The following is a 24921-nucleotide window of genomic DNA, read 5'->3' on the forward strand; positions in this document are numbered from 1 at the left end:
TTCTTTGTCTCACTCTATTGCCCAGGCTGGAGTGCAATGGCATCATCATCACAGCTCCCTGCAGCCTCAAACTCCTGGGCTCAGGTGATCCACCTGCATCCACCTCCCACATAGGTGGAATCACAGGCATTCACCACCATGCCTGGCTGATTTGTTTTGTATTTTTCTGAATGCATGGGTTTTCGCCATGTTGCCCAGGCTGGTCTTGAACTCCTGGGTTAAAGCAATCCTCAACGCCTCGGCCTCTCAAAGTACTGAGATCCTTGAATTATTTTATAAGTTGCTTTAGATGCCAATCAATGCTTTTTGACAATCGCCTGGTTCTCCTACGGAACTGCATGTGTTTTGGAGCCAGTAGTGTTAAATAATAATAGCTGCTCATTATTAAAGATCAATTTAAAAATAATTCTGCCAAATAGAAGTATGACTCCTAATTTTTCAATAGAAATATTCTGTCTGAAGTCACAGAGCTTTCACAGACTCCACCTCAGTCTTCCCTAAGTTCCAACTGGACTTGGAATAAATCTGGCTTGACCAGTTACTAGCTGTGTGGCCTTGGAGATGCCATTTGCTATCACTGAGCTTAAATTTATTCATTTGAGGAGAAAGGAGATAAGAATCCTTTTTTCCAGAGCTGCTGATGAAAGTATTACAGATGATGTATGCAAAATGCCTTAACCCCAAAAATGAGAGCTATAATAATGTTATTTAAAAATTACATCTAAAGGAAAAGGTTTTTTACATAAAGCATTTTACTGTTATGTCACCCTGCATATTTATTCAATTGAACTATACAATCTCTTTATGACTTGATGCAGAGAAGCCTAATATAATAATAGATATCATCAAAATAAAAAAACCTCATTATTTAAAAATAATACGCCTAGCAGTAATTCAACCATTTTCTTTCATCAGATAAAGCATATTTGTTCCCAAGTTCTTAAAACTCTTGAAAAATCTTCAAGAGCTCTAAAATAATGATAGTATTACATATAAAACCTCCATTGAGTAGCTACTCAGGAAAATTGCTTCCCTTTTTGAACTTCACCAGTATTTATTAAATTAACATTTGTTATTAATTATACATTATTCTTATTTTTATTTTTTCAATCATTCAACCCAAAATGTCATAATCACACATTTTAAATACACTTTTGGAAATTCTACTTTTGCAATTTTCTATTGCAAAATAGAGTCTATGTCTTTTATTTCTATGCACCCCTTCTTTATAGCACCCAAGCTTCAGCACCATGGTAGATGTATAGGTGTGTTTATATTTGATACATTAGTTAATTAATATAGGTCTCTTATCTGGGGATATAATCTCTTCCCTTGTGGGAGTAAAATTCTTTTTTTATTATACTTTAAGTTCTAGGGTACATGTGCACAATGTGCAGGTTTGATACATAGGTATACATATGCCATGTTGGTTTGCTGCACCCATCAACTCATCATTTACATTAGGTGTTTCTCCTAATGCTATCCCTCCCCCAGCCCTCCACCCACCGACAGGCCACAGTGTGGGATGTTCCCCACCCTGTGTCCAAGTGATCTCATTGTTCAGTTCCCATCTGTAAGTGAGAACATGTGGTGTTTGGTTTTCTGTCCTTGTGATAGTTTGCTCAGAATGATGGTTTCCAGCTTCATCCATGTCCCTGCAAAGGACATGAACTCATTCTTTTTTAAGGCTGCATAGTATTCTATAGTGTATATGTGCAACATTTTCTTAATCCAGTCTATCATTGATGGACATTTGGGTTGGTTCCAAGTCTTTGCTATTGTGAATAGAGTCACAAGAAACATACATGTGCATGTGTCTTTATAGTAGCATGGTTTATAATCCTTTGGGTATATAACCAGTAATGGGATTGCTGGGTCAAATGGTAATTCTAGTTCTAGATCCTTGAGGAATCATCACACTCTCTTCCACAATGGTTGAACTAATTTACACTCAGTGAGAGTAAAATTCTTTTACAAGAATATCAGAAATCAAGATTTGTTTAGAAGCAGAATATTGAAAACATGATTGAATTGCTACAGTACAACTTAATGCAAGATAGTAAGCTCACCAGGGCCTAATTCACCAATGCACCACAGCCAACTGGTCAACTTGGTCAACTCGCATTGTACAATATGCTTGTGCTAATTACTTTAGAATTCAATATGACCTCTGGTGGCTGGGTGTGGGGGCTCATGTCTGTAATCCCAGCACTTTGGGAGGCTGAGGTGGGCCAATCACTTGAGGCCAGGAGTTTGAGACCAGTCTGGCCAACATGGCGAAAACTGTCTCAACTAAAAATACAAAATTTAGCTGGGCATGGTGGCTCATGCCTGTATTTTTAGCTACCTGGAAGCTGAGGCACAAGAGTCGCTTAAACCTGGGAGGCATAGGTTGCAGTGAGCCAAGATCATGCCACTGCATTCCAGTCTGGGCCACAGAGGGAGACTCTGTCTCAAAACAAAACTAAACAAGAATTCCGCGATGGCTCATGCCTGTAATCCCAACACTTTGGGAGACCGAGGCAGGCGGATCACTTGAGGTCAGAAGTTTCAGACCAGCCTGGCCAACAGGGTGAAACCCTGTCTGTACTGAAAATACAACAATTAGCCTGGTGTGTTGGCTGGTCCCTGTAATCCCAGCTATTCGGGAGGCTGAGGCAGGAGAATCGCTTGAACCCAGGAGATGGAGGTTGCAGTCAGCCAAGATTGCTTCACTACACTCCAACCTGGGTGACAGAGTGAGACTCCATCTCAAAAAAAAAAAAAAAAAAGAAAGAAAGAAAATAAAAGAATTCAATATGACCATATGACCATTGGGAGAGTTATACACCTTAGCAAGTTGTAGGCACCTGAAAACTTGGGTACAGCAGTGAAGTAAACAATGAGGAGCAGTCTACATCAATTTGTGATTGGGATAGAGCAGTGAGTGTATTTATTGATGTGTCAGATGCATATACCGCTGATAATATGGCAGCTCCATGGCTCTGAGTATTTGACCTCTCCTCAAGTGTTACTGTATTGTTTCTAGTTCATTTCCACACAACAGAATTTGCTTTTATTTTTAATTAATTAATTAATTATTTTGGTGCCGGGTTGAAAAAGCTCAGATTGAAGGGCACCCATGTTAGTTTCAGTTCCATTATGGGGACGGAGATAGCCCAAATCCAACAATCACAGTGTATGCTGTACAATTATTTCCAAGTGCTAATCTCAAGCCCTTGAAGCTATGGTACAGCTGGACATGACCTTGACAAGTTGAGGAATAATTTGATCATAGCAAAATCTAAAGACATTTGAGTCTGTATCCCTTGAGAAGTTGCTATTACAAAACCTTCTACTACATTCCAAATACGTGTGTTAAAAGTCTAACATAGTTGCTAGATAATTAGTGAGACTGCATGCATTGGAATGGCAAAAACTATGCACAAAAGAAGCTTTATCAGATCTCTGTTAAATAATTTGTCTTGTTCTAGATGTCATGAGAGGAGTCAGGATAGCCTTATAAAAATTATAGAAGATATAAATGTTTATCTTTTAAAATGGCTATTCTGCATAATGTACCAATTAGCAATGATGACTATAAGTGAGAGTTTAGTTTTTGTGGAACAGGTAAAGGAGAAAGTAGTCATGAAGGAATTATTGATAAGTGAGTCATGGCATCACACTATCTGTATAATGTTATCAGTTTCATCCCAGAGTGTAATATAATGCCTGCCATATGTGGTTATGAACTTATTTGTATTGCTGGGACTCCCATTATGCTAGAAAATAATCAGGATTCTGTGGCTGTATCACAAAAAAAAAATTATGTTTTTGACCACTGTTGTTTCAACATCATACACTTGCCTTTATGAAACTGTCTATATAAAACAGAATGATGTTCAATCTGTTGCAGTGAACACAGTAAAAGTCATCTGAAAGCATATTTTAAACCATTGCCTCTTTCTTGCTTTTAAAGAATAGTAATTTTGAGCATATTGTCTACCTTTTCCTTGAAGATAATAAAGCATTCATTCAACAAATACTAAAATATTTGTGAAGTGCCTTCAACATGCCAGGCACTGTTCTACGCCCCAGGGATGCAATAATAAAACAGAGAAAACCTGGCCCTCATGGAAACTACATTCTGGCAGAAGAGACTAACAATAGGCAATACAAAATAAATAAAAAAGGCTGGCAGCAGTAGTGTGTGCCTGTAGTCCCAGCTACTTGTTGAATGATATGGTTTTGCTCTGTGTCCCCATCCAGATCTCATCTTGAATTAAACTCCCATAATTCCCATGCATTGTGGGAGGGTCTTCATGATAGGTAATTGAATCATGGGGGCTGGTTTCCCCTATACTGTTCTTGTGATAGTGACTAAGTCTCATGAGATCTGATGGTTTAATAAGGGGAAACCCATTTTGCTTGGCACTCATTTCTCTCTCTTGCTGCCGGCATGTGAGATGTGCCCTTCACCGTCTGCCAGGATTGTGAGGCCTCCCCAGTCACGTGGAACTGTAAGTTCAATAAACCTCATTCTTTTGTAAATTGCCCAGTCTTGGGTATGTCTTTATCAGCAGCATGAAAACAGACTAATATAGTAAATTGGTACCAGAAGTGGGGTGTTGCTGAAAAGATACTCGAAAATGTGGAAGTAACTTTACAACTGGGTAACAGACAGAGGTTGGAATAGTTTGGAGGGCTCAGAAGAAGACAGGAAAATGTGGGAAAGGCTGGAACTTCCTAGAGACTTGCTGAATGGCTTTGTCCAAAATGCTGATAGCGATATGTACAATAAAGTCCAGGCTGAGGTGGTCTCAGATGGAAATGAGAAACTTGTTGGTACTGGAGAAAATGTGACTCTTGTTATATTTTAGCAAAAAGACTGGTGGCATTTTGCCCCCACCCTGGAGATGTGTGGATCTTTGAACTTGGGAGAGATGATTTAGGCTATCTGCCAGAAAAAATTTCTAAGCATCAAAGCATTCAAAAGGTGTCTTGGGTGCTCTTAAAGGCATTCAGTTTTATAAGAGAAGCAGAGCATAAAAGTTTGGAAAATTTGAAGCCTGACAATGTTGATAGAAAAGAAAAACCCATTTTCTGAAGAGAAATTCAAGCTGGCTGCAGAAATTTGCATAAGTAACAAGGAGCCAAATGTTAATCCCCAAGACAATGGGGGACATGTCTCCAGGGCATGTCAGAGGTCTCATAGCAGCCCCTGTCATCACAGGCTTGGAGGCTTAGGAGAAAATGGTTTCATGGGCTGGGCCCAGAGTCCCTGTGGTGTGTGCAGCCTAGGGACTTGGTGCCCTGCATTCCAGCTGCTCCAGCTGTGGCTGAAAGGGGCCAACATAGAGCTTGGGCTGTGGCTTCAGAGGGAGAAAGCCCCAACCCTTGACAGCCTCCATGCGGTGTTGATCCTGCAAGTGCACAGAAGTCAGGAATTGGGGTTTGGGAACCTCTGCCTGGATTTCAGAAGTTGTATGGAAACACAGGGAAGCCCAGGCAGAAGTTTGCTGCAGGGGCAGGGTGCTCATGGAGAACCTCTACTAGGGCAGTGCAGAAGGGAAACGTGGGGTTGGAGCTTCCACATAGAGTCCCTACCGGGGCACTGCCTAGTGGAGCTGTGAGAAGAGAGCCACCATCCTCCAGACCCCAGAATGGTAGATCCACCAACAGCTTGCATTGTGGACCTGGAAATGCTACAGACACTCAATGCCAGCCCATGAAAGCAGCTGGGAGGGGGGCTGTACCCTGCAAAGCCACAGGGGTGGAGCTGTCCAACACAATGGGAACCCACCCCTTGCATCAGCATGACCTGGATATGAGACATGGAGTCAGGGAGATCATTCTGGAGCTTTAAAATTTGACTGCCCTGCTGGATTTCTGACATGGATGGGGACTGTGGCCCCTTTGTTTTGGCCAATTACTCCCATTTGGAATGACTGTATTTTATTTTATTTTTTTATACTTTAAGTTTTAGGGTACATGTGCACAATGTGCAGGTTAGTTACATATGTATACATGTGCCATGCTGGTGTGCTGCACCCATTAACTCCTCATTTAGCATTAGGTATATCTCCTAATGCTATCCCTCCCCCTCCCCCCACCCCACAACAGTCCCCAGAGTGTGATATTCCCCTTCCTGTGTCCATGTGTTCTCATTGTTCAATTCCCAACTATGAGTGAGAACATGAGGTGTTTGGTTTTTTGTCCTTGTGATAGTTTACTGAGAATGATGATTTCCATTTACATCCATGTCCCTACAAAGGACATGAACTCATCATTTTTTATGGCTGCATAGTATTCCATGGTGTATATGTGCCACATTTTCTTAATCCAGTCTATCATTGTTGGACATTTGGGTTGGTTCCAAGTCTTTGCTATTGTGAATAGTGTGGCAATAAACATACGTGTGCATGTGTCTTTATAGCAGCATGATTTATAGTCCTTTGGGTATATACCCAGTAATGGGATGGCTGGGTCAAATGGTATTTCTAGTTCTAGATCCCTGAGGAATCCCCACACTGACTTCCACAATGGTTGAACTAGTTTACAGTCCCACCAACAGTGTAAAAGTGTTCCTATTTCTCCACATCCTCTCCAGCACCTGTTGTTTCCTGACTTTTTAATGATCACCATTCTAACTGGTGTGAGATGGTATCTCATTGTGGTTTTGATTTGCATTTCTCTGATGGCCAGTGATGATGAGCATTTTTTCATGTGTTTTTTGGCTGCATAAATGTCTTCTTTTGAGAAGTGTCTGTTCATGTCCTTCACCCACTTTTTGATGGGGTTGTTTGATTTTTTCTTGTAAATTTGTTTGAATTCATTGTAGATTCTGGATATTAGCCCTTTGTCAGATGAGTAGGTTGCGAAAATTTTCTCCCATTTTGTAGGTTGCCTATTCACTCTGATTGTAGTTTCTTTTGCTGTGCAGAAGCTCTTTAGTTTAATTAGATCCCATTTGTCAATTTTGGCTTTTGTTGCCATTGCTTTTGGTGTTTTAGACAGGAAGTCCTTGCCCATGCCTATGTCCTGAATGGTAATGCCTAGGTTTTCTTCGAGGGTTTTTATGGTTTTAGGTCTAATGTTTAAGTCTTTAATCCATCTTGAATTAATTTTTGTATAAGGTGTAAGGAAGGGATCCAGTTTCAGCTTTCTATATATGGCTAGCCATTTTCCCAGCACCATTTATTAAATAGGGAATCCTTTCCCCATTTCTTGTTTTTGTCAGGTTTGTCAAAGATCAGATAGTTGTAGATATGCGGCGTTCTTTCTGAGGGCTCTGTTCTGTTCCATTGGTCTATATCTCTGTTTTGGTACCAGTACCATGCTGTTTTGGTTACTGTAGCCTTGTAGTATAGTTTGAAGTCAGGTAGCATGATGCCTCCAGCTTTGTTCTTTTGGCTTAGGATTGACTTGGCGATGAGGGCTCTTTTCTGGTTCCATATGAACTTTAGAGTAGTTTTTTCCAATTCTGTGAAGAAAGTCATTGGTAGCTTGATGGGGATGGCATTGAATCTATAAATTACCTTGGGCAGTATGGCCATTTTCATGATATTGATTCTTCCTACCCATGAGCATGGAATATTCTTCCATTTGTTTGTATCCTCTTTTATTTCATTGAGCAGTGGTTTGTAGTTCTCCTTGAAGAGGTCCTTCACGTCCCTTGTAAGTTGGATTCCTAGGTATTTTATTCTCTTTGAAGCAATTGTGAATGGGAGTTCACTCATGATTTGGCTCTCTGTTTGTCTGTTATTGGTGTATAAGAATGCTTCTGATTTCTGTACATTGATTTTGTATCCTGAGACTTTGCTGAAGTTGCCTATCAGCTTAAGGAGATTTTGGGCTGAGACAATGGGGTTTTCTAGATATACAATCATGTCATCTGCAAACAGGGACAATTTGACTTCCTCTTTTCCTAATTGAATACCCTTTATTTCCTTCTCCTCCCTAATTGCCCTGGCCAGAACTTCCAACACTATGTTGAATAGGAGTGGTGAGAGAGGGCATCCCTGTCTTGTGCCAGTTTTCAAAGGGAATGCTTCCAGTTTTTGCCCATTCAGTATGATATTTGCTGTGGGTTTGTCATAGATAGCTCTTATTATTTTGAGATACGTCCCATCAATACCTAATTTATTGAGAGTTTTTAGCATGAAGGGTTGTTGAATTTTGTCAAAGGCCTTTTCTGCATCTATTGAGATAATCATGTGGTTTTTGTTTTTGGTTCTGTTTATATGCTGGATTACATTTATTGATTTGTGTATATTGAACCAGCCTTGCATCCCAGGGATGAAGCCCACTTGATCATGGTGGATAAGCTTTTTGATGTGCTGCTGGATTCAGTTTGCCAGTATTTTATTGAGGATTTTTGCATCAATGTTCATCAAGGATATTGGTCTAAAATTCTCTTTTTTGGTTGTGTCTCTGCCCGGCTTTGGTATCAGGATGATGCTGGCCTCATAAAATGAGTTAGGGAGGATTCCCTCTTTTTCTATTGATTGGAATAGTTTCAGAAGGAATGGTACCAGTTCCTCCTTGTACCTCTGGTAGAATTCAGCTGTGAATCCCTCTGGTCCTGGACTCTTTTTGGTTGGTAAGCTGTTGATTATTGCCACAATTTCAGATCCTGTTATTGGTCTATTCAGAGATTCAAATTCTTCCTGGTTTAGTCTTGGGAGGGTGTATGTGTCGAGGAATTTATCCATTTCTTCTAGATTTTCTAGTTTATCTGCTTAGAGGTGTTTATAGTATTCTCTGATGGTAGTTTGTATTTCTGTGGGATCGGTGGTGATATCCCCTTTATCATTTTTTATTGCATCTATTTGATTCTTCTCTCTTTTCTTCTTTATTAGTCTTGCTAGTGGTCTATCAATTTTGTTGATCTTTTCAGAAAACCAGCTGCTGGATTTGTTAATTTTTTGAAGGGTTTTTTGTGTCTCTATTTCCTTCAGTTCTGCTCTGATTTTAGTTATTTCTTGCCTTTTGAATGTGTTTGCTCTTGCTTCTCTAGTTCTTTTAATTGTGATATTAGGGTGTCAATTTTGGATCTTTCCTGCTTTCTCTTGTGGGCATTTAGTGCTATAAATTTCCCTCTACACACTGCTTTGAATGTGTCCCAGAGATTCTGGTATGTTGTGTCTTTGTTCCTGTTGGTTTCAAAGAAGATCTTTTTTTCTGCCTTCATTTCTTTAGGTACCCAGTAGTCATTCAGGAGCAGGTTGTTCAGTTTCCATGTAGTTGAATGGTTTTGAGTGAGTTTCTTAATCCTGAGTTCTAGTTTGATTACACTGTGGTCTGAGAGACAGTTTGTTATAATTTCTGTTCTTTTACATTTGCTGAGGAGAGCTTTACTTCCAACTATGTGGTCAATTTTGGAATAGGTGTGGTGTGGTGCTGAAAAAAATGTATATTCTGTTGATTTGGGGTGGAGAGTTCTGTAGATGTCAATTAGGTCCACTTGGTGCAGAGCTGAGTTCAATTCCTGGGTATCCTTGTTAACTTTCTGTCTCGTTGATCTGTCTAATGTTGACAGTGGGGTGTTAAAGTCCCTCATTATTATTGTGTGGGAGTCTAAGTCTCTTTGTAGGTCACTCAGGACTTGCTTTATGAATCTGGGTGCTCCTGTATTGGGTGCATATATATTTAGGATAGTTAGCTCTTCTGTTGGATTGATCCCTTTACCATTATGTAATGGCCTTCTTTGTCTCTTTTGATCTTTGTTGGTTTAAAGTCTGTTTTATCAGAGACTAGGATTGCAACCCCTGCCTTTTTTTGTTTTCCATTTGCTTGGTAGATATTCCTCAATCCTTTTATTTTGAGCCTATGTATGTCTCTGCATGTGAGATGGGTTTCCTGAATACAGCACACTGATGGGTCTTGACTCTATCTAATTTGCTAGTCTGTGTCTTTTAATTCAGGCATTTAGTCCATTTACATTTAAAGTTAATATTGTTATGTGTGAATTTGATCCTGTCATTATGATGTTAGCTGGTTATTTTGCTCATTAGTTGATGCAGTTTCTTCCTAGCCTCGATGGTCTTTACAATTTGGCATGTTTTTGCAGTGGCTGGTACCGGTTGTTCCTTTCCATGTTTAGTGCTTCCTTCAGGAGCTCTTTTAGGGCAGGCCTGGTGGTGACAAAATCTCCTAGCATTTGCTTGTCTGTAAAGGATTTTATTTCTCCTTCACTTATGAAGCTTAGTTTGGCTAGATATGAAATTCTGGGTTGAAAATTCTTTTCTTTAAGAATGTTGAATATTGGCCCCCACTCTCTTCTGGCTTGTAGAGTTTCTGCCGAGAGATCTGCTGTTGGTCTGATGGGCTTCCCTTTGTGGGTAACCTGACCTTTCTCTTTGGCTGCCCTTAACATTTTTTCCTTCATCTCAACTTTGGTGAATCTGACAGTTACGTGTCTTGGAGTTGCTCTTCTTGAGGAGTATCTTTGTGGCGTTCTCTGTATTTCCTGAATCTGAGTGTTGGCCTGCCTTGCTAGACTGGGGAAGTTCTCCTGGATAATATCCTGCAGAGTGTTTTCCAACTTGGTTCCATTCTCCCTGTCACTTTCAGGTACACCAATCAGACATAGATTTGGTCTTTTCACATAGTCCCATATTTCTTGGAGGCTTTGTTCATTTCTTTTTATTCTTTTTTCTCTAAACTTCCCTTCTCACTTCATTTCATTCATGTCATCTTCCATCGCTGATACCCTTTCTTCCAGTTGATCGCATCATCTCCTGAGGCTTCTGCATTCTTCACATAGTTCTCGAGCCTTGGCTTTCAGCTCCATCAGCTCCTTTAAGCACTTCTCTGTATTGGTTATTCTAGTTATACATTCGTCTAAATTTTTTTCAAAGTTTTTAACTTCTTTGCCTTTGGTTTGAATTTTCTCCTGTAGCTCGGAGTAGTTTGATCGTCTGACGCCTTCTTCTCTCAACTTGTCAAAGTCATTCTCCATCCAGCTTTGTTCTGTTGCTGGTGAGGAACTGCGTTCCTTTTGCGGAGGAGAGGCGCTCTGCTTTTTAGAGTTTCCAGTTTTTCTGCTCTGTTTTTTCCACATCTTTGTGGTTTTATCTACTTTTGGTCTTTGATGATGGTGATGTACAGATGGGTTTTTGGTGTGGATGTCCTTTCTGTTTGTTAGTTTTCCTTCTAACAGACAGGACCCTCAGCTGCAGGTCTGTTGGAGTTTGCTAGAGGTCCACTCCAGACCCTGTTTGCCTGGGTAACAGCAGCGGTGGCTCAGGTATTTCTTTATAGCAATGTGAAGGACTAATACAGAAAACTGGTACTGGGAGTGGGGCATTCCTATAAGGATACCTGAAAATGTGAAAGCAGCTTTGGAACCAGGCAACAGGCAGAGGTCAGAACGGTTTGGAGGGCTCAGAAGAAGACAGAAAGATGAGGAAAAAATTGAAACTTCCTAAAGACCTGTTGAATTGTTGTGACCAAAATGCAGAAAGTGATATGGACAGTGAAGACCAACCTGCAGAGATCTCAGATAGAAATGAGTAACTTATTGGGAATTGGAGCAAAGATCACTTTTGTTATGCATTACCAAAGAGGTTGGCAGCATTGTGCTCCTGCTTGAGAAATCTCTGGAACTTTGAACTTCAGAGTGATGATTTAGGGTATCCAGCAGAAGAAATTCTAAGTAGGAAAGTGTTCAAAATATGGCCTGGGTGATTCTACCAGCCTTTTCTCATATGCTTGAGCAAAGAAATAACCCAAAACTGGAACTTATAATTAAAAGGGAAGCAAAACATAAAAGTTTGAAAAATTTGTGAGTCCAGCCTTGTGGTAGAAAAGGAAAACCCATTTTCTGGGGATGAACTCAAGCTGGCTGCAGAAATTTGCATAAGTAAAGAGGAGCAGAGTATTAATAGCCAAGACAATGGAGAAACATTTCAGACACCTTTGTGGCAGCCCCTCCCATCACAGGCTTAGAGGCCTAGCAGGGACGAATAATTTTGTGGGCCAGGACCAGGACTCTGCTACCCTGCACAGCCTCAGGACATGGCTCCCTGCATACTGGCCACTCCAGCTCCAGCTGTGGCTCAAAGGGGCCCAGATACTGCTCAGATTGCTGCTTCAGTGGTTGCAAGCCATAAGCCTTGGTGACTTCCATGTGGTGTTAAGCCTGCCAGTGCACAGAGTGGAAGAGTTGAGGCTTAGGAGCCTCCACCTAGACTCCAGAAGATGTATGAAAAAGCCCAGATGTCCAGGCAGAAGCCTGCTGCAGGGGTGGGCCTACATAGAGAACCTCTGCTACGGCAGTGCAGAGGAGAAGTGCATGGTTGGAGGCCCCAGAGTCCCCACTGAGCACTGACTAGTGCAGCTCTGAGAAGAGAGCCATCATCCCCCAGACCCCAGAATGGTAGATCCACGACCAGCTTGCACCATGCCCCTGGAAAAGCCACAGGCACTCACTGCCAGCTCGTGAAAGCAGCCATGGGGGCTGTACCCAGCAGAGCCACAGGTGCAGAACTGCCCAAGGCCTTGGGAGCCAACCCCTTGCACCAGTGTCCCCTCGACGTGGGACATGGAGTCAAAAGAGATTATTTTGGAATTTTAAGATGTAATGAGTGCCCTGTTTGGTTTCAGACTTGCATGGTTTGTAATCCCTTTCTTTTGGCTGATATCTCCCTTTTGGAACAGGAATATTTACCCAATGCTTGTACGCCCATTGTATCCTGGGGGTAACAAACTTGTTTTTGATTTTGCAGGCTGATAGGCAGAAGGGACTAGCCTTATCTCAGATGAGACTTTGGACTTTTGAACTAAGGCTGGAATGAGTTAAGACTTCAGGGGACTATTCGGAAAACATGATTGTATTTTGCAGTGTAAGAAGGAAATGAGATTTGGGAGGGGTCAGGTGCAGAATGATATGGTTTGGATCTGTTTCCCTGTCTAAATCTCATGTCAAATTGTAATCCCCAATGTTGGAGGTAGAGTCTGGTGGGAGGTGATTGGATCATGGGGGCAGATTTTCCTATTGGTGCTGTTCTCATAATTGAGTGAGTTCTCAAGTGATCTGGTTGTTTAAAAGTACGTAGCACCTCCCACATCTCACTCTTTCTTCTGCTTTGGCCATGTGAGACATCTCACTCCCCTTTTGCCTTCTGCCATGATTGAAAGTTTCCTGAGGTCTCCCCAGCAGCTGAGCAGGTGTCAGCATCATACTTCCTGTACAGCCTGCAGAACCGTAAGCAATTAAACTTCTTTTCTTCACAAATTACCCAGCCTCAGGTATTTCTTTATAGCAATGTGAGAATGGACCAATGCAAATATGTTAGAAAGCTAGAAAAAAAAATAGGGGAAGAAGGATATGTAATGTTAGGAGAATTTGTATTTTCACAAAGTGGCAAGAAAAACTTTTGTTGAGGAAATGACTTTAGAGTAAGTATGTAAAAGAGTGAAAGAGCTAGCATATGTCTGTGGAAAAAGAATCCTAAATAGGGGTCACAGCAAGTACAAAAACCCTGAGATGAGAATGTGTTTGGCAAGTTGGAGATAAAGGAAGAAGGCAGTGTGACTAGCATAGTGAGCAGAAGGGCAGAGTCATAGGATATGAGGTCAGAGAGATAAGAAAAGCCAGATCATGGAGGGGCCTTCAGGTCATGGCAAGGACTTGGGTTTTATTATGCACATTTTATTTTTCCTTTTCTTTTTGACCTTTACTCAGATACTCAGATAGCAAAATCATTCATGTAGCCTCAACAAGAATTTGTACTGTTACAGTAGGAATGAGAAAGGAGAAGAAAATTGTACTTTTTTGGTAGGGAGGGGAAGAAGAAGGAGGATGTTCTGAGCTAGTAATAAAACAGGAATGCTCAAAGAAAGAAAGTTAATATTAGGCTTGATTTTGTTTCTTTCACTTTCAAGCAGGCTCATGAGTATCAAAAGGAAAGATTCTGAGGGGAGTAAAACACTGTTTATGCTATTAACAGCTCTAGAAAGAAAATAGAGGTAGAGACTGAAGACCACTGCCCCATCTCAGGAGGGGCTGAAGGATTTAGGAAGGAAGAGGGGGTGGTTGGGTGTGACCGAAGTTTTGTGTGGAGGGGAAGTCGAGGTGGAAGTGTAGAGGGGGCATGTGCTGATGGAGAAGTGGAAGTCTGCAGTAGAGGCAGCAAGGCTGAATACCTTTGGTAGACATTGAGAGGGAACATATGCAAGCCAGTGTCTGTGGAATTGTTGGGGATGGACCCTACATCTACTCTGCCTGCTCCCTGGGGGATTATCCATCAGAAGGACATTCATATGTGCCCTGAGACTTTGCTGTACTCTCTGCACCACCACCATGCACGGATCCCTACAAGAACCTATAAAATAGCTCCCGTTCACAGCCTGGACTCTTGTCATAATCCTGCAAACAAAGAGATGGGGTCAAGTTGGGGCACTGAATCTTTGGAGAGAAAGAGTCCTGGCTTCATGCTCAGAAGAGGCAGGACAGTAGAGCAAACAGCCTGGTTATACCATTAGGTAGAGTTGGCTTACTGGTGGCCAAGTATTTATTTTTAAAATGCTTATGGATATGAAAATATTAACATTTTCCTTTTCGTTTTGACTTGTTCTCTGGTAGGCAGAATCATTCCCGTCGCCTCAAAAAGAATTAGTATTTTTACATTAGGAATGCAAAGAGAAGGAGGCAGTATTCTTGTGGGGGGTGGGGGAGGGTCATGTTCCAGACTACTAATAAAGAAGAAGTTTTAAAAGAATAATAAAATAAATAAAAATAATACATAAATAAATGTTACTTTTGTTGGGCAAGAAAATTAGTACTTTAATTAGTGATATGAAATATAGATAACTTATCTTTTGTCTAGGATGCATAGCAGATATATTTGGACAGGATATTTATTTAGATATGTAGATAGAACAAACATAGCAACTTTGAGAGACTTTATAAAGAAAAACATATTTTAGATGCGTACTCCTGGAAAAGCAGTTTCATTAACTTTCATTTTGTGAAGGAACAGTTTAATTGTAAAGTAAATTCATTTATTTTATATATATATAATATATATATTTTATATATAAAATATATACATTATATATAATATATATATAATATATATTATATATATTTTATATATAATATATATTATATATATTATATATTATATATATTTTATATATATTTTATATTTTATATATATATTTTATATATTATATATATTTTATATATATTTTTATATATTTTATATATATAGTACTATAATATGACAGGGACCTTTCCAGGTGCTAGAGGTACAATGGTGAACACAGCAAAGTTTTTGTCCTCAAAATTTTATGTTTCAATAAATTAGTAAATAAATGGCTAAATAAAATACTTACAGATTGAACCAAGTTTTTAAAAATTAATTAACCTGGATTGTATAAACTATAGTATTTAGATTAAAATGATCTAATTAATTTATGAATTCACACATCAATTTAGGGATCTGCAAATAGTAGCCCATGGTTCAGCCAATGGGTCAAATCTGAACTGCCACCTGTTTTTTAAAGTTTTATTGGAACACAGACACATACCTATTTATTACATCTGTCTGTAGCCGTTTTTGACCTACAACAGTGGAGTTGAAAAGTTGCAATAGATACCTCTGGCCCACAAAGCCAGATATTTACTATCTGATACTTTTCAAAACATGTTTGCTGACCCCTGGATTAATTCAAATATAATTTGAGATAATGAAGTTTGAAAATTTTTTAAAATCGCACAAGCAAAACTGTTTAAGATAGTGTAGGAGATGAAGTCCTATTTTTGTGTCAGATGGTGTTTTTATCAAAAGCTCAAAAGTCATATATGTACATATGGAGACGTGCATTCAAAGCTTTGAGTTTCCTAAATACTATTAAATAAGAAATACGGTAGAATAGTTACTGTGCCAGTAATGAAATTGCCATTGCAAAATTTTGAGAGTAAGAGAAATCTGACATAGTTGACTTCACCTTGCTTCCAATCTGCAAGCTGTCCTTGGTCATTACTGGGCATAGGTCAAGCTAACTTTGGGAGGAATTAGTTTATAGTTTAACTTGAAAGGAAAGATGATAATAGTCCCTCCTTAAAACTTAACTCCCTCAGCTGGGTGTGGTGGCTCACGCCAGCACTTTGGGAGGTCGAGGCGGGTGGATGGCTTGAACTCAGGAATTTGAGACTAGCTTGGGCAATGTGGTAAAACCCTGTCTCTACCAAAAATACAAAAAATTAGCTGGGTGTAGTGGTATGCCCCTGTGGTCCCAACTACTCAGAAGGCTGAGGTGTGAGGATGCTTGAGCCCAGGGAGGCGGATGTTGCGCTGAGCTGAGATGGCACCACTTCACTCCAACCTGGGTGACAGAGTGAGACCCCATCTCAAAACAACAACAACAAAAACCCAAATAAACAAACAACAATAAAAGAACCAAAACTAACCCTCTCTTTGCTCAGGGACTGAAAGCCACCTTTGTAAAGCTAATGAAAGGCCACAAGAATAGGTTTATGGGAGGAGTGTAAACTCTGATAAAATGTAGGCATAGTTTCTATAATCCCTTACTGTTAAGGAGTCATATGACCAGAGATCACAAGATTTGTGACTTTCCCAATTACTCTTATCAGCAACATCACTACTGTAGAACCTAAGATTTTCAGACTGACCCCATCTGGACTGGTGACTTATGGCTCAACTGGTCCTGTGCTTCCATCCAGAGGCCGACTCAGTGCACGAGGATGGAGGACAACTTTCCATCACCCTATGATTTCATCCCTAACGAATGAGCAGCACCCATTCCCCAGCCTCCTGCCCACCAAATTGTCCATAAGAACGCCTAGTCTCTGAGCCTGTGCAGAGACTGATTTGTGTGATAACTCCCATTCTCTTTCATGGGCCAGCTTTGTGCCAGTTAAACTCTTTTCCTACTGCAATGCTGTGGTCTCAGTGGATTGATTTTGTTTCTGCAATGAGCAGGAGTCACTTATTAAAAAGTACATAATTTTTTTGTTCTTAAGTTACATATGATTTTTTTTCTTTTACTGGATAGTTACGATAAATCTTAGTTTAAGCAATTTTTGATAAGGTTTAAGAACACATTTTGTTTGTTTGTTTTTTCCAAGATGGAGTCTTGCTCTGTTGCCCAGGCTGGAGTGCAGAGGCATGATCTCAGCTCACTGCAACCTCTGCCTCCTGGGTTCAAGCAATTCTCCCTGCCTCAGACTCCTGAGTAGCTGGGACTACAGGTGCCCGCCACACGCCTGGCTAATTTTTGGTAGAGACGGGGTTTCACTATGTTGGCCAGATTGGTCTCAAACTCTCGACCTCAGGTGATCTGCCTGACTTGGCCTCCCAAAGTACTAGGATTACAGGTGTGAGCCACTGCACCCAGCCAGAAAACATGTTATGAGAGCAATAGAAGAGATAGAAGAGCATACAGTATTTAAGAACCAAAGTTCTAGATTCCAGCTTGTTATCATTGTTCACCTACACCTCTAGTAGACTCCCACTGGTTTCCCAGAGGCTAATGTTGCTCTACTTCAGTGCATTCCCCCTAGGTTCTGTGATTGCTTTCAGTTGAATGTTATGCTTGATTCCTATCATTTACACTTATTTTCTTTTCATCATCTATTCCAGACGTGTTCCTTTCCCCTACATTTCTACATTATATTATATATACTGCTTCAGAAAAAAAATTATCATTTTACTTGTTAAAGATGGTAAGGCAGACTTTACTCAAGGTAGGCCATGATGATAGGTATAGGGACTGCAATTGGGTCTTACAGTGGGGGACAGAGAGTGGACTCCAGTTTGTTTCCAGCAAGGGAAAGTTAGAATTTTTTTTTTCTTTTTGCTCCCCAAGAAAAGTATACAAGTGGAGATTTATAACCAAGGAGCAGGCTGGAGGTCAGTGGATGGGAAATTACTAGGAGGAGACATCAAGTATTAGGGGATCTCTGGCTCTACTTAGTAGTTTTATTGCTGAAGGGAAGATGGTGAGATCAGATATCAAGGGTAGTTAGAGACCCCAGTATCAGGGGTAGGGAATTTTTGGTAAACTGGCTAGCAGGATTTTTGATCTCACAGTTCTACAAGGATGGAGAGGGACCCTGAAGGTTGGTCCTAGTCAGAAAGGACTGGAAAGCCTCTCTAAAGTTTTGGTCAAAGGAGAGAGTCTTTGACAATATCAATAGTATATTAATATTTAAGAAAAGGGAAGAAGGGCCACTGGCATTTCTACATTTTTCTGTCCTTTTAGTCTGTTTTTATTCACATATGAAATTTTCTTTTGAAAATTTATTGAACTTTTGACCTTTCTGTCACTCTGGTTCTGTTTTCATTCTTCTGTGTTCCTCTTTCTTCATTTCATCATAATTTACCCACTCATGATCATAGTATTTCCTTTTAATTCCCATATAGTATTTACAGCACCCATCATTTTGGTGATACCACACAAATGCTCTGAGTATGTGATTAGGGAATAGAGGGTGGAGGGAGCTCTTCTAAGATTTCAAAGCCTCATTTTGTAATCTGCCTGACTCTGCAACCCTTCAATTCACACAGTTGAGTCCATTTAATTCCTATCTGTAAATTCAACTCAACCTCTCAGACCAATCACCCTTAGGTAGTTTGAATTAAAAAAAAAAACTTGGCAATAATGTCATATCAAGTGAGCTTAGATCCTTGTTCTCAGTCTTTGTTTTACAGATAAAATATATAATTATTCTTGTTACTGCATGACTTTGAAGAACTGGTTCCTTTTATTCTCCAATAACTGATGATGAACTCTGTATGTATACTGTTGTGTCTCAGTTCCCCTAAAATTGGGAGCGAGGAGTTTAGCTTGGTTATTCATGTCTTGCCCCTTCAACCCATTTGGTACCTGAGACCACACATCTTCTGGTAAGACCTCCGTGACCTGACCCTGCCTTGGGAGAAGCAACTTGATTAAATTGAGATAAATCATTAAAAGCAAACAAAAAAAAATTGTCCTGTTGGAATAATCAATTACTCATGAGGATGGTTCTAGAATTGGTCTATTGGAAGTAAACCAGACATTAACTGTTCACATCTAGGTCTTAGGTTGGAGAAAATAATGAACCTCTATTCTTCACATTTCTTTGTGACCTTTGAGTACTGCTATAGAAAATGAAAACAAAACAAAACAAGAAAAGTCCAGGATAACTACTACTTGTTAAATTTATAGTTAACCACTTCACTTGGACCATGAACACTGCTGGACAATGTTTTCTTTTTCCCAAGCGAGTTTATCCTTCTGCTCTTCATTGTGGTGATTTCAAGACTAGTGAATTTACCTCAAATATCTGACTTCAGCTATATTTCCTCTACCTCTCATATCCTTTTCTTCAGTGGATCCTCATAGAGAAAAGAGAAACCCTCAGATAGAAACTTCTTCAGTATTCCAGCACCAAATTTGCACACTGCTATGCAATATTACCTTTCTGCCTTTCCTGCCATTTTAATGGAAAAGGTTTGCCTCCTCCTCTCTCAGGCTACTCCCCCTATCTCTGCACTGGGTTTGAGAATTATCCTCCCTTTTTTCCAGTGTCATTGATTTCTAAGCAAATGCACTCTGGTGATCTTCCTCTTAATTCTCAGGCTACTTCAGTATTTTTTGTTGACTTCTGCTTTTCTATCCATTCACAGAAATGCTATTTTCCATTAGGGCTCCATATTCTACCCCATTGTCCCCAGGTAATCTTTTTTTTTTTCACACTAATTGTGTAATTTTCTAAGGCGATCATTAGTTTTATTTACCTGAGCTTATTTGCATGATAGTAAAAATTGCATACAATAATAAGAGTGAAGCTGGATGGGCTAGGTGGTTCACACCTGTAATCATAGCACTTTGAGGGGCTGAGGCAGGTAGATTGCTGAGCCCAGGAGTTAGAGACCAGTCTGGGCAACATAGTAAAACCCTGTCTCTACAAAAAAATACAAAAATTAGCCAGGCATACTGGTGTGTACCTGTGGTCCCAGCTACTTGGGGGCCTGAAGTGGAAGAATTGCTTGAGCCTGGGAGTTCAAGGTTGCAGTGAGCTGTGATCATGCCACTGCACTCCAGCCTGGGCAACACAGCAAGACCCTATCTCCAAAAAAAAAAGTATTAATTACTTGGATAACATGTAAAACTTTTTATAAGAAACTATGTAAACTAAGTAATCTTTATCTCCTCTCACAGCTTCTGTATTATCTATCTCTGTGTGTGTGTGTGTGTGTGTGTGTGTGTGTGTGTTTGTGTGTGTGTGTGTGGTGTACCATTCCTGGAGGCACTGCAATACTAGGTAGATGTATGGAATGGAAGGAGCAAGCTTCTATTCCATCTCCCTGCTCAAAAATACATTTAATATATTGTCCTTGAATAGAGGACATATCAGATTTTAAGCTGTTAAGAACAGATACCACATTTGATCTTAGCTAAAAGGCCAAGAAGAAATTATTTATATTGTGAAACCTCTCAATTAAAAATTTCTAATTCAAATCTTTCTTGTGATCTCCAGTCATATAAACCTAAGAGAATGATTTATACATCCAGTTTGCTGGCTCACAAGGAATCTCAACTTCAACTTATCCAAACCTGCATTTATTAAGTTCTCTTCCCAATCCCCACTAAATTACCTGCTCCTTACCCTATGTTTTTTTCTATTTAGTATCTGACTTGCTTAAGTCAGCAAAATGGAATATCTTTCTTTACTACTTCTACTTATCTCCAGCCTCCATCATGTTAACTTGAGGGTGTGTGTGTGTGTTCGCGTGTTTGTCGAGGTGGGTATCTAACCTGATCACTCAGGTCGTGTCCCTTCACTCAGTTTGGTAGCTGAAACCAAATGTCTTCAAACAAGTTCTCTGTGACCTGATACTGCCTTCAGGGAGGAGCAACTTGATTAAATTTAGATGAGTCTTTAAAAACAACAAAACTTTTCTTACCCTTTTAGAACAACTCAGTTATTCAAGAGAATGAGTTTAGAATTGATCTTGTTGAAATAAGCCAAATCTTTCCTCTTCGCATCTAAGTCGGAGAAAGTAATAGACATGCATGCTTCACATTTCTTCCTAAGCCTCTGAACACTGCTGCAGAAATTTATAACAATTCTTAAATTTCTTAAGCCTGTGGAAGAGGCAGTGCCACTGCCTTAGTTCTTGTCACTTCCTCAATTCCAGATGCATTTGATGTCTCTCTACCTTTTTACTTTTCATTTCAATTTGTAAGTTCCAGTTTAGGTGTCTGTTTTCTTCTGCTAATTTGGCTAGTTTGTGCTCTTCTTTGGTTAGAGCTGTAATTATCCATCTTTGTCTTTCTAGTTAGTAACTTGTTTCAGTGCCCGGAGCTCATAAGGGAGTAAATAACTGAACAGTTGAATGACCCCCCTAATATTCAGCCACCCTGAACTCCACCTCCTCCCTGCCTTTTGAAAGACTGCCTGTGTATCTCATCTCTAGGTCCCAAGTATATTTAGTCTAAATTATCTGGATGCTTGCTAAAAGTAGGATTGCCTATTACACAGATTCTACTATCTCTCAGCTCAGTCTTGCTAACATGTACATTTTGGTCTTCCAGACTCTCAAACTGAGTGCCCATGACCTGTGGAACTATGTGTGTGATTACAAGAACATAAATGTCCTGTGTTATGTCGGTTTGGGCCACTTTTTAGTTCTTTGAGACAAAATATATATATTAAAACAGGAAAATATGCAGCTAAAGCAAAATTTGGGGTAATTTTAAAAGCAAAGTATAAGATTTCAATGCATGAAACTTCAAAAATATTTTATGGTGGGATGGGACAGTCTCTGCTAAATCCTCATATCCCTGAGGATATACCATTCCCTATTCTGTTTTGGGATAGTGAACTTCAGATGTTAAGTCTGAAAGCACTGTAGGTAGGTGTTGTCTGTGTGTGTATGTGTGTGTGTGTGTGTGTGTGTATGTGTGTGTATGTAGAAGGAAGGTTTTCCATGAAGATTCTACAGAAAGGATTTTTGAGTTTTGGCCTAAAAAAGTAACATTAAGGAAATCATAAAACCTCTTCAGAGTTTAGCACACCAGGGATAGCACTAAATGGCTTTCTAGTATCAAGATATAACCATTTTAATAAAGGAAGATGAAATATCTTAAATCATCCTTCCCAGCAGCCATTATGAAGCCAAATGCCTCACTGCCCTGCTTATTAGTTGCTTGTGATGGGAATACGGGAGTAATCTGTCCCGCATGAAGCTAGAAATCTCTCTTGGTATGTCTAGATTTAAGACAATAGGATTTGAATATTATCATATTAATATATAAGTAAAACCAACAGAGCATCACAAAATTAGCATTAGTAATCTTGTTTAAGGAATGTCCCTGAGGATTTAAAAATCCCTTTAGAGAAATCATAAGGCATGCTTCTATGTTTTTCTGTCACGGGTAACCACAACAGAGATTGCATGTGTTCCATAATTTTTACCAAAAGAAACAGTTGGAGACCTGAATTTTGAGGGTTTTGTTTTTTAATAAGTCCTTACTTCACAAATGAGTTAGATTCATATATATTAAAAAATAATCATTTTTCTTCCATATAAGACTAACTAAGCATGAATTTAGCTGTCTTTTCAATTTTTGCACGGAAGTATTTTAGGTTCATTCAGTTTCATTTATTTATTTATTTTCTAAGGAAGAAGTCTGTGAGGATTCAGTAGAATCCAGAGAACACTGACTAGCTTTGAATACTGAAAACTTCCTCCTTCAACTTGGTTCTTGGTTTTTGGTATCCATTAAATAGGGAGGCCATGCACTAACTCCAGTCTTTCTATCTTAAATAAGCTGTGATAGTACTGTAATAAACAAGGCTCTAGATGGAGGTTTTCCAAATGCAGCTCAAATGAACAGGTGATATCTCTTGTGTTTAGATTTGTTCAGTAAAGTTTACATCGCATGTGTGTGTTAGAGTATGTATGTGTGAGTTTGTGTGTGTATAACATATATTTATTTTCATTTTTATTATTATCTTTTTTTTTTTTTTTTTGAGACAGAGTCTCGCTCTTTCACCCAGGCCGGAGTCAGTGGCGCTATCTCGGCTCACTGGCTCACTGCAAGCTCCGCCTCCCGGGTTCACCCCATTCTCCTGCCTCAGCCTCCTGAGTAGCTGGGACTATAGGCGCCCGCCACGGCGCCCGGCTAATTTTTTGGGTTTTTAGTAGAGACGGGGTTTCACCGTGTTAGCCAGGATGGTCTCGATTTCCTGACCTCGTGCTCCGCCCGCCTCGGCCTCCCAAAGTGCTGGGATTACAGACGTGTTATCTTTTAAATAAAGACAAGGTCGCACTCTGTTGTCCAGGCTGGTCTTAAACTTCTGAGCCCAAGTGATCCTCCTGCCTCAGCCTCCTGAAGTGTTGAGATTACAGGTGTAAGCCACTACTCCTGGCCTATTTATTTATTTAGAGACAGAATCTTGCTCTGTGGCCCAGATTCTACCTCAACTGCAGCCTCCACCTCCTGGGCTCAAACAATCCTCCCACCTCAGTCTCCCGAATAACTGAGACTACAGACAATGCACAATCACACCCAGGCAATTTTTAAATTATTATTATTATTTGTAGATTGGGGGTGGGGGGGTCTCATTGTATTGCCCAGGCTGGTCTCAAACTCCTGGGCTCGAGAAATCCTACGTCCATGGCTCCCCAAAGTGCTGGGATTACAGATGTGAGCCACCATGCCTGGCCATCATATATTTATATAAACTTATCCAATGAAAATATATCGACGTAAGCAGGTTCAGGCCAAGCTCTGTAGTTTTTGATAGTTTCTCTTTCTGAAGATACTATTTAAAGAGTGGAAAAGGTAGGAGATAAAATGTGAAACAAATATGGTTCTTAGATATTAAATATCTTCACCAAAACAGAGCAAAAGTGTTAGGAAAAATCTTTTTGCTCATTGTTGGCTAACACAAGTTAGGATTTACTCGAAATAAGTCTTGTGTTCTTATTTTGTTGTGTTCAGACAGCCAAATTCTTTACTGTAATTCAAAGAATGTATAGCCAGTGTTGATGACATAATAAAAGGGGAAAATAAATGTAATAAATTTCCAAATTATCCTTCTTAAACTCACTGAAAAAGAGTCTAAGGATAATGTTTATTAAATGTACATGCACTTCTTTGGAAATATGTCAAGACTATTTAAAAACACACACAAGGCCGGGTGTGGTGGCTCATGCCTGTAATCCCAGCACTTTGGAAGGCTGAGGTGGGTGGAAGGATCACTTGAGGCCAGGGGTTTGAGAACAGCCTGGGTAACATAGCAAGACCCAGTCTCTACAAAAAGTTTAAAAAATTAGCCAGGCATGGTGGTGTACATGTGTAGTCCCAGTTACTTCAGAGGCTGAGGTGAGAGGATTGTTTGAACCTCTAGGAGTTGAGGTTACAGTGAGCTATGATAGCACCACTGTACTCTAGCCTGGGTGACAGAACAAGACCCTGTCTCAAAAATAAATAAATAAATCACACACACACACACACACACACACACACACACACACACACACGATTATGGGCTACAATCTGAAAGCCTTGGTAGAGTTTATTTATACATAATTTAAAAATGTGTGCACAGAAAATATTTCTATGATTAAATAATGACATTAAAACAGTAATACTTCAACACTGGCAATAGGTTCAGATGAGTTTTGTGAGTCAAACCAAAGATTCTTGGTAAGAAACATCAGTAAATTATAAATAGCAAGATAAAAATAGAAAACCATTAGCTCAGCAGGAGCTGTGTATGTGGGAGAGAAGAGAGCAAAGAGAAGTTGCATACATACTACAGATGACATTAAAAATCTAGTTTATTTAAGAAGAAAACTGAATACTAAAAAAATGGTATTTGAAACATTTTAATGGTATATTGTGGACTTTTTTCTACAGTGATACAGTAGGTATTATTATCTGTCGCTTACGTCAAATAGAACAATG

The 24921-nt window shown here is 39.7% G+C and overlaps 1 pseudogene, besides 1 other annotated feature; it reads right to left on the bottom strand.

The window, feature by feature from the left end:
* Nucleotides 11724–12231: an enhancer, noted in NCBI's record as "NANOG-H3K27ac-H3K4me1 hESC enhancer chr6:121892975-121893482 (GRCh37/hg19 assembly coordinates)". NCBI's record gives its function as "activates a minimal SCP1, AML or CMV promoter by ChIP-STARR-seq in naive and primed H9 embryonic stem cells {active_cell/tissue: H9 hESC(naive and primed)}" and the evidence as "EXISTENCE:reporter gene assay evidence [ECO:0000049][PMID:30033119]".
* Nucleotides 20227–20416, bottom strand: RNU2-8P (RNA, U2 small nuclear 8, pseudogene; annotated as a pseudogene).

This window comes from Homo sapiens, chromosome 6 (assembly GCF_000001405.40).
Source record: "Homo sapiens chromosome 6, GRCh38.p14 Primary Assembly".
NCBI classification, from domain to species: domain Eukaryota; kingdom Metazoa; phylum Chordata; class Mammalia; order Primates; family Hominidae; genus Homo; species Homo sapiens.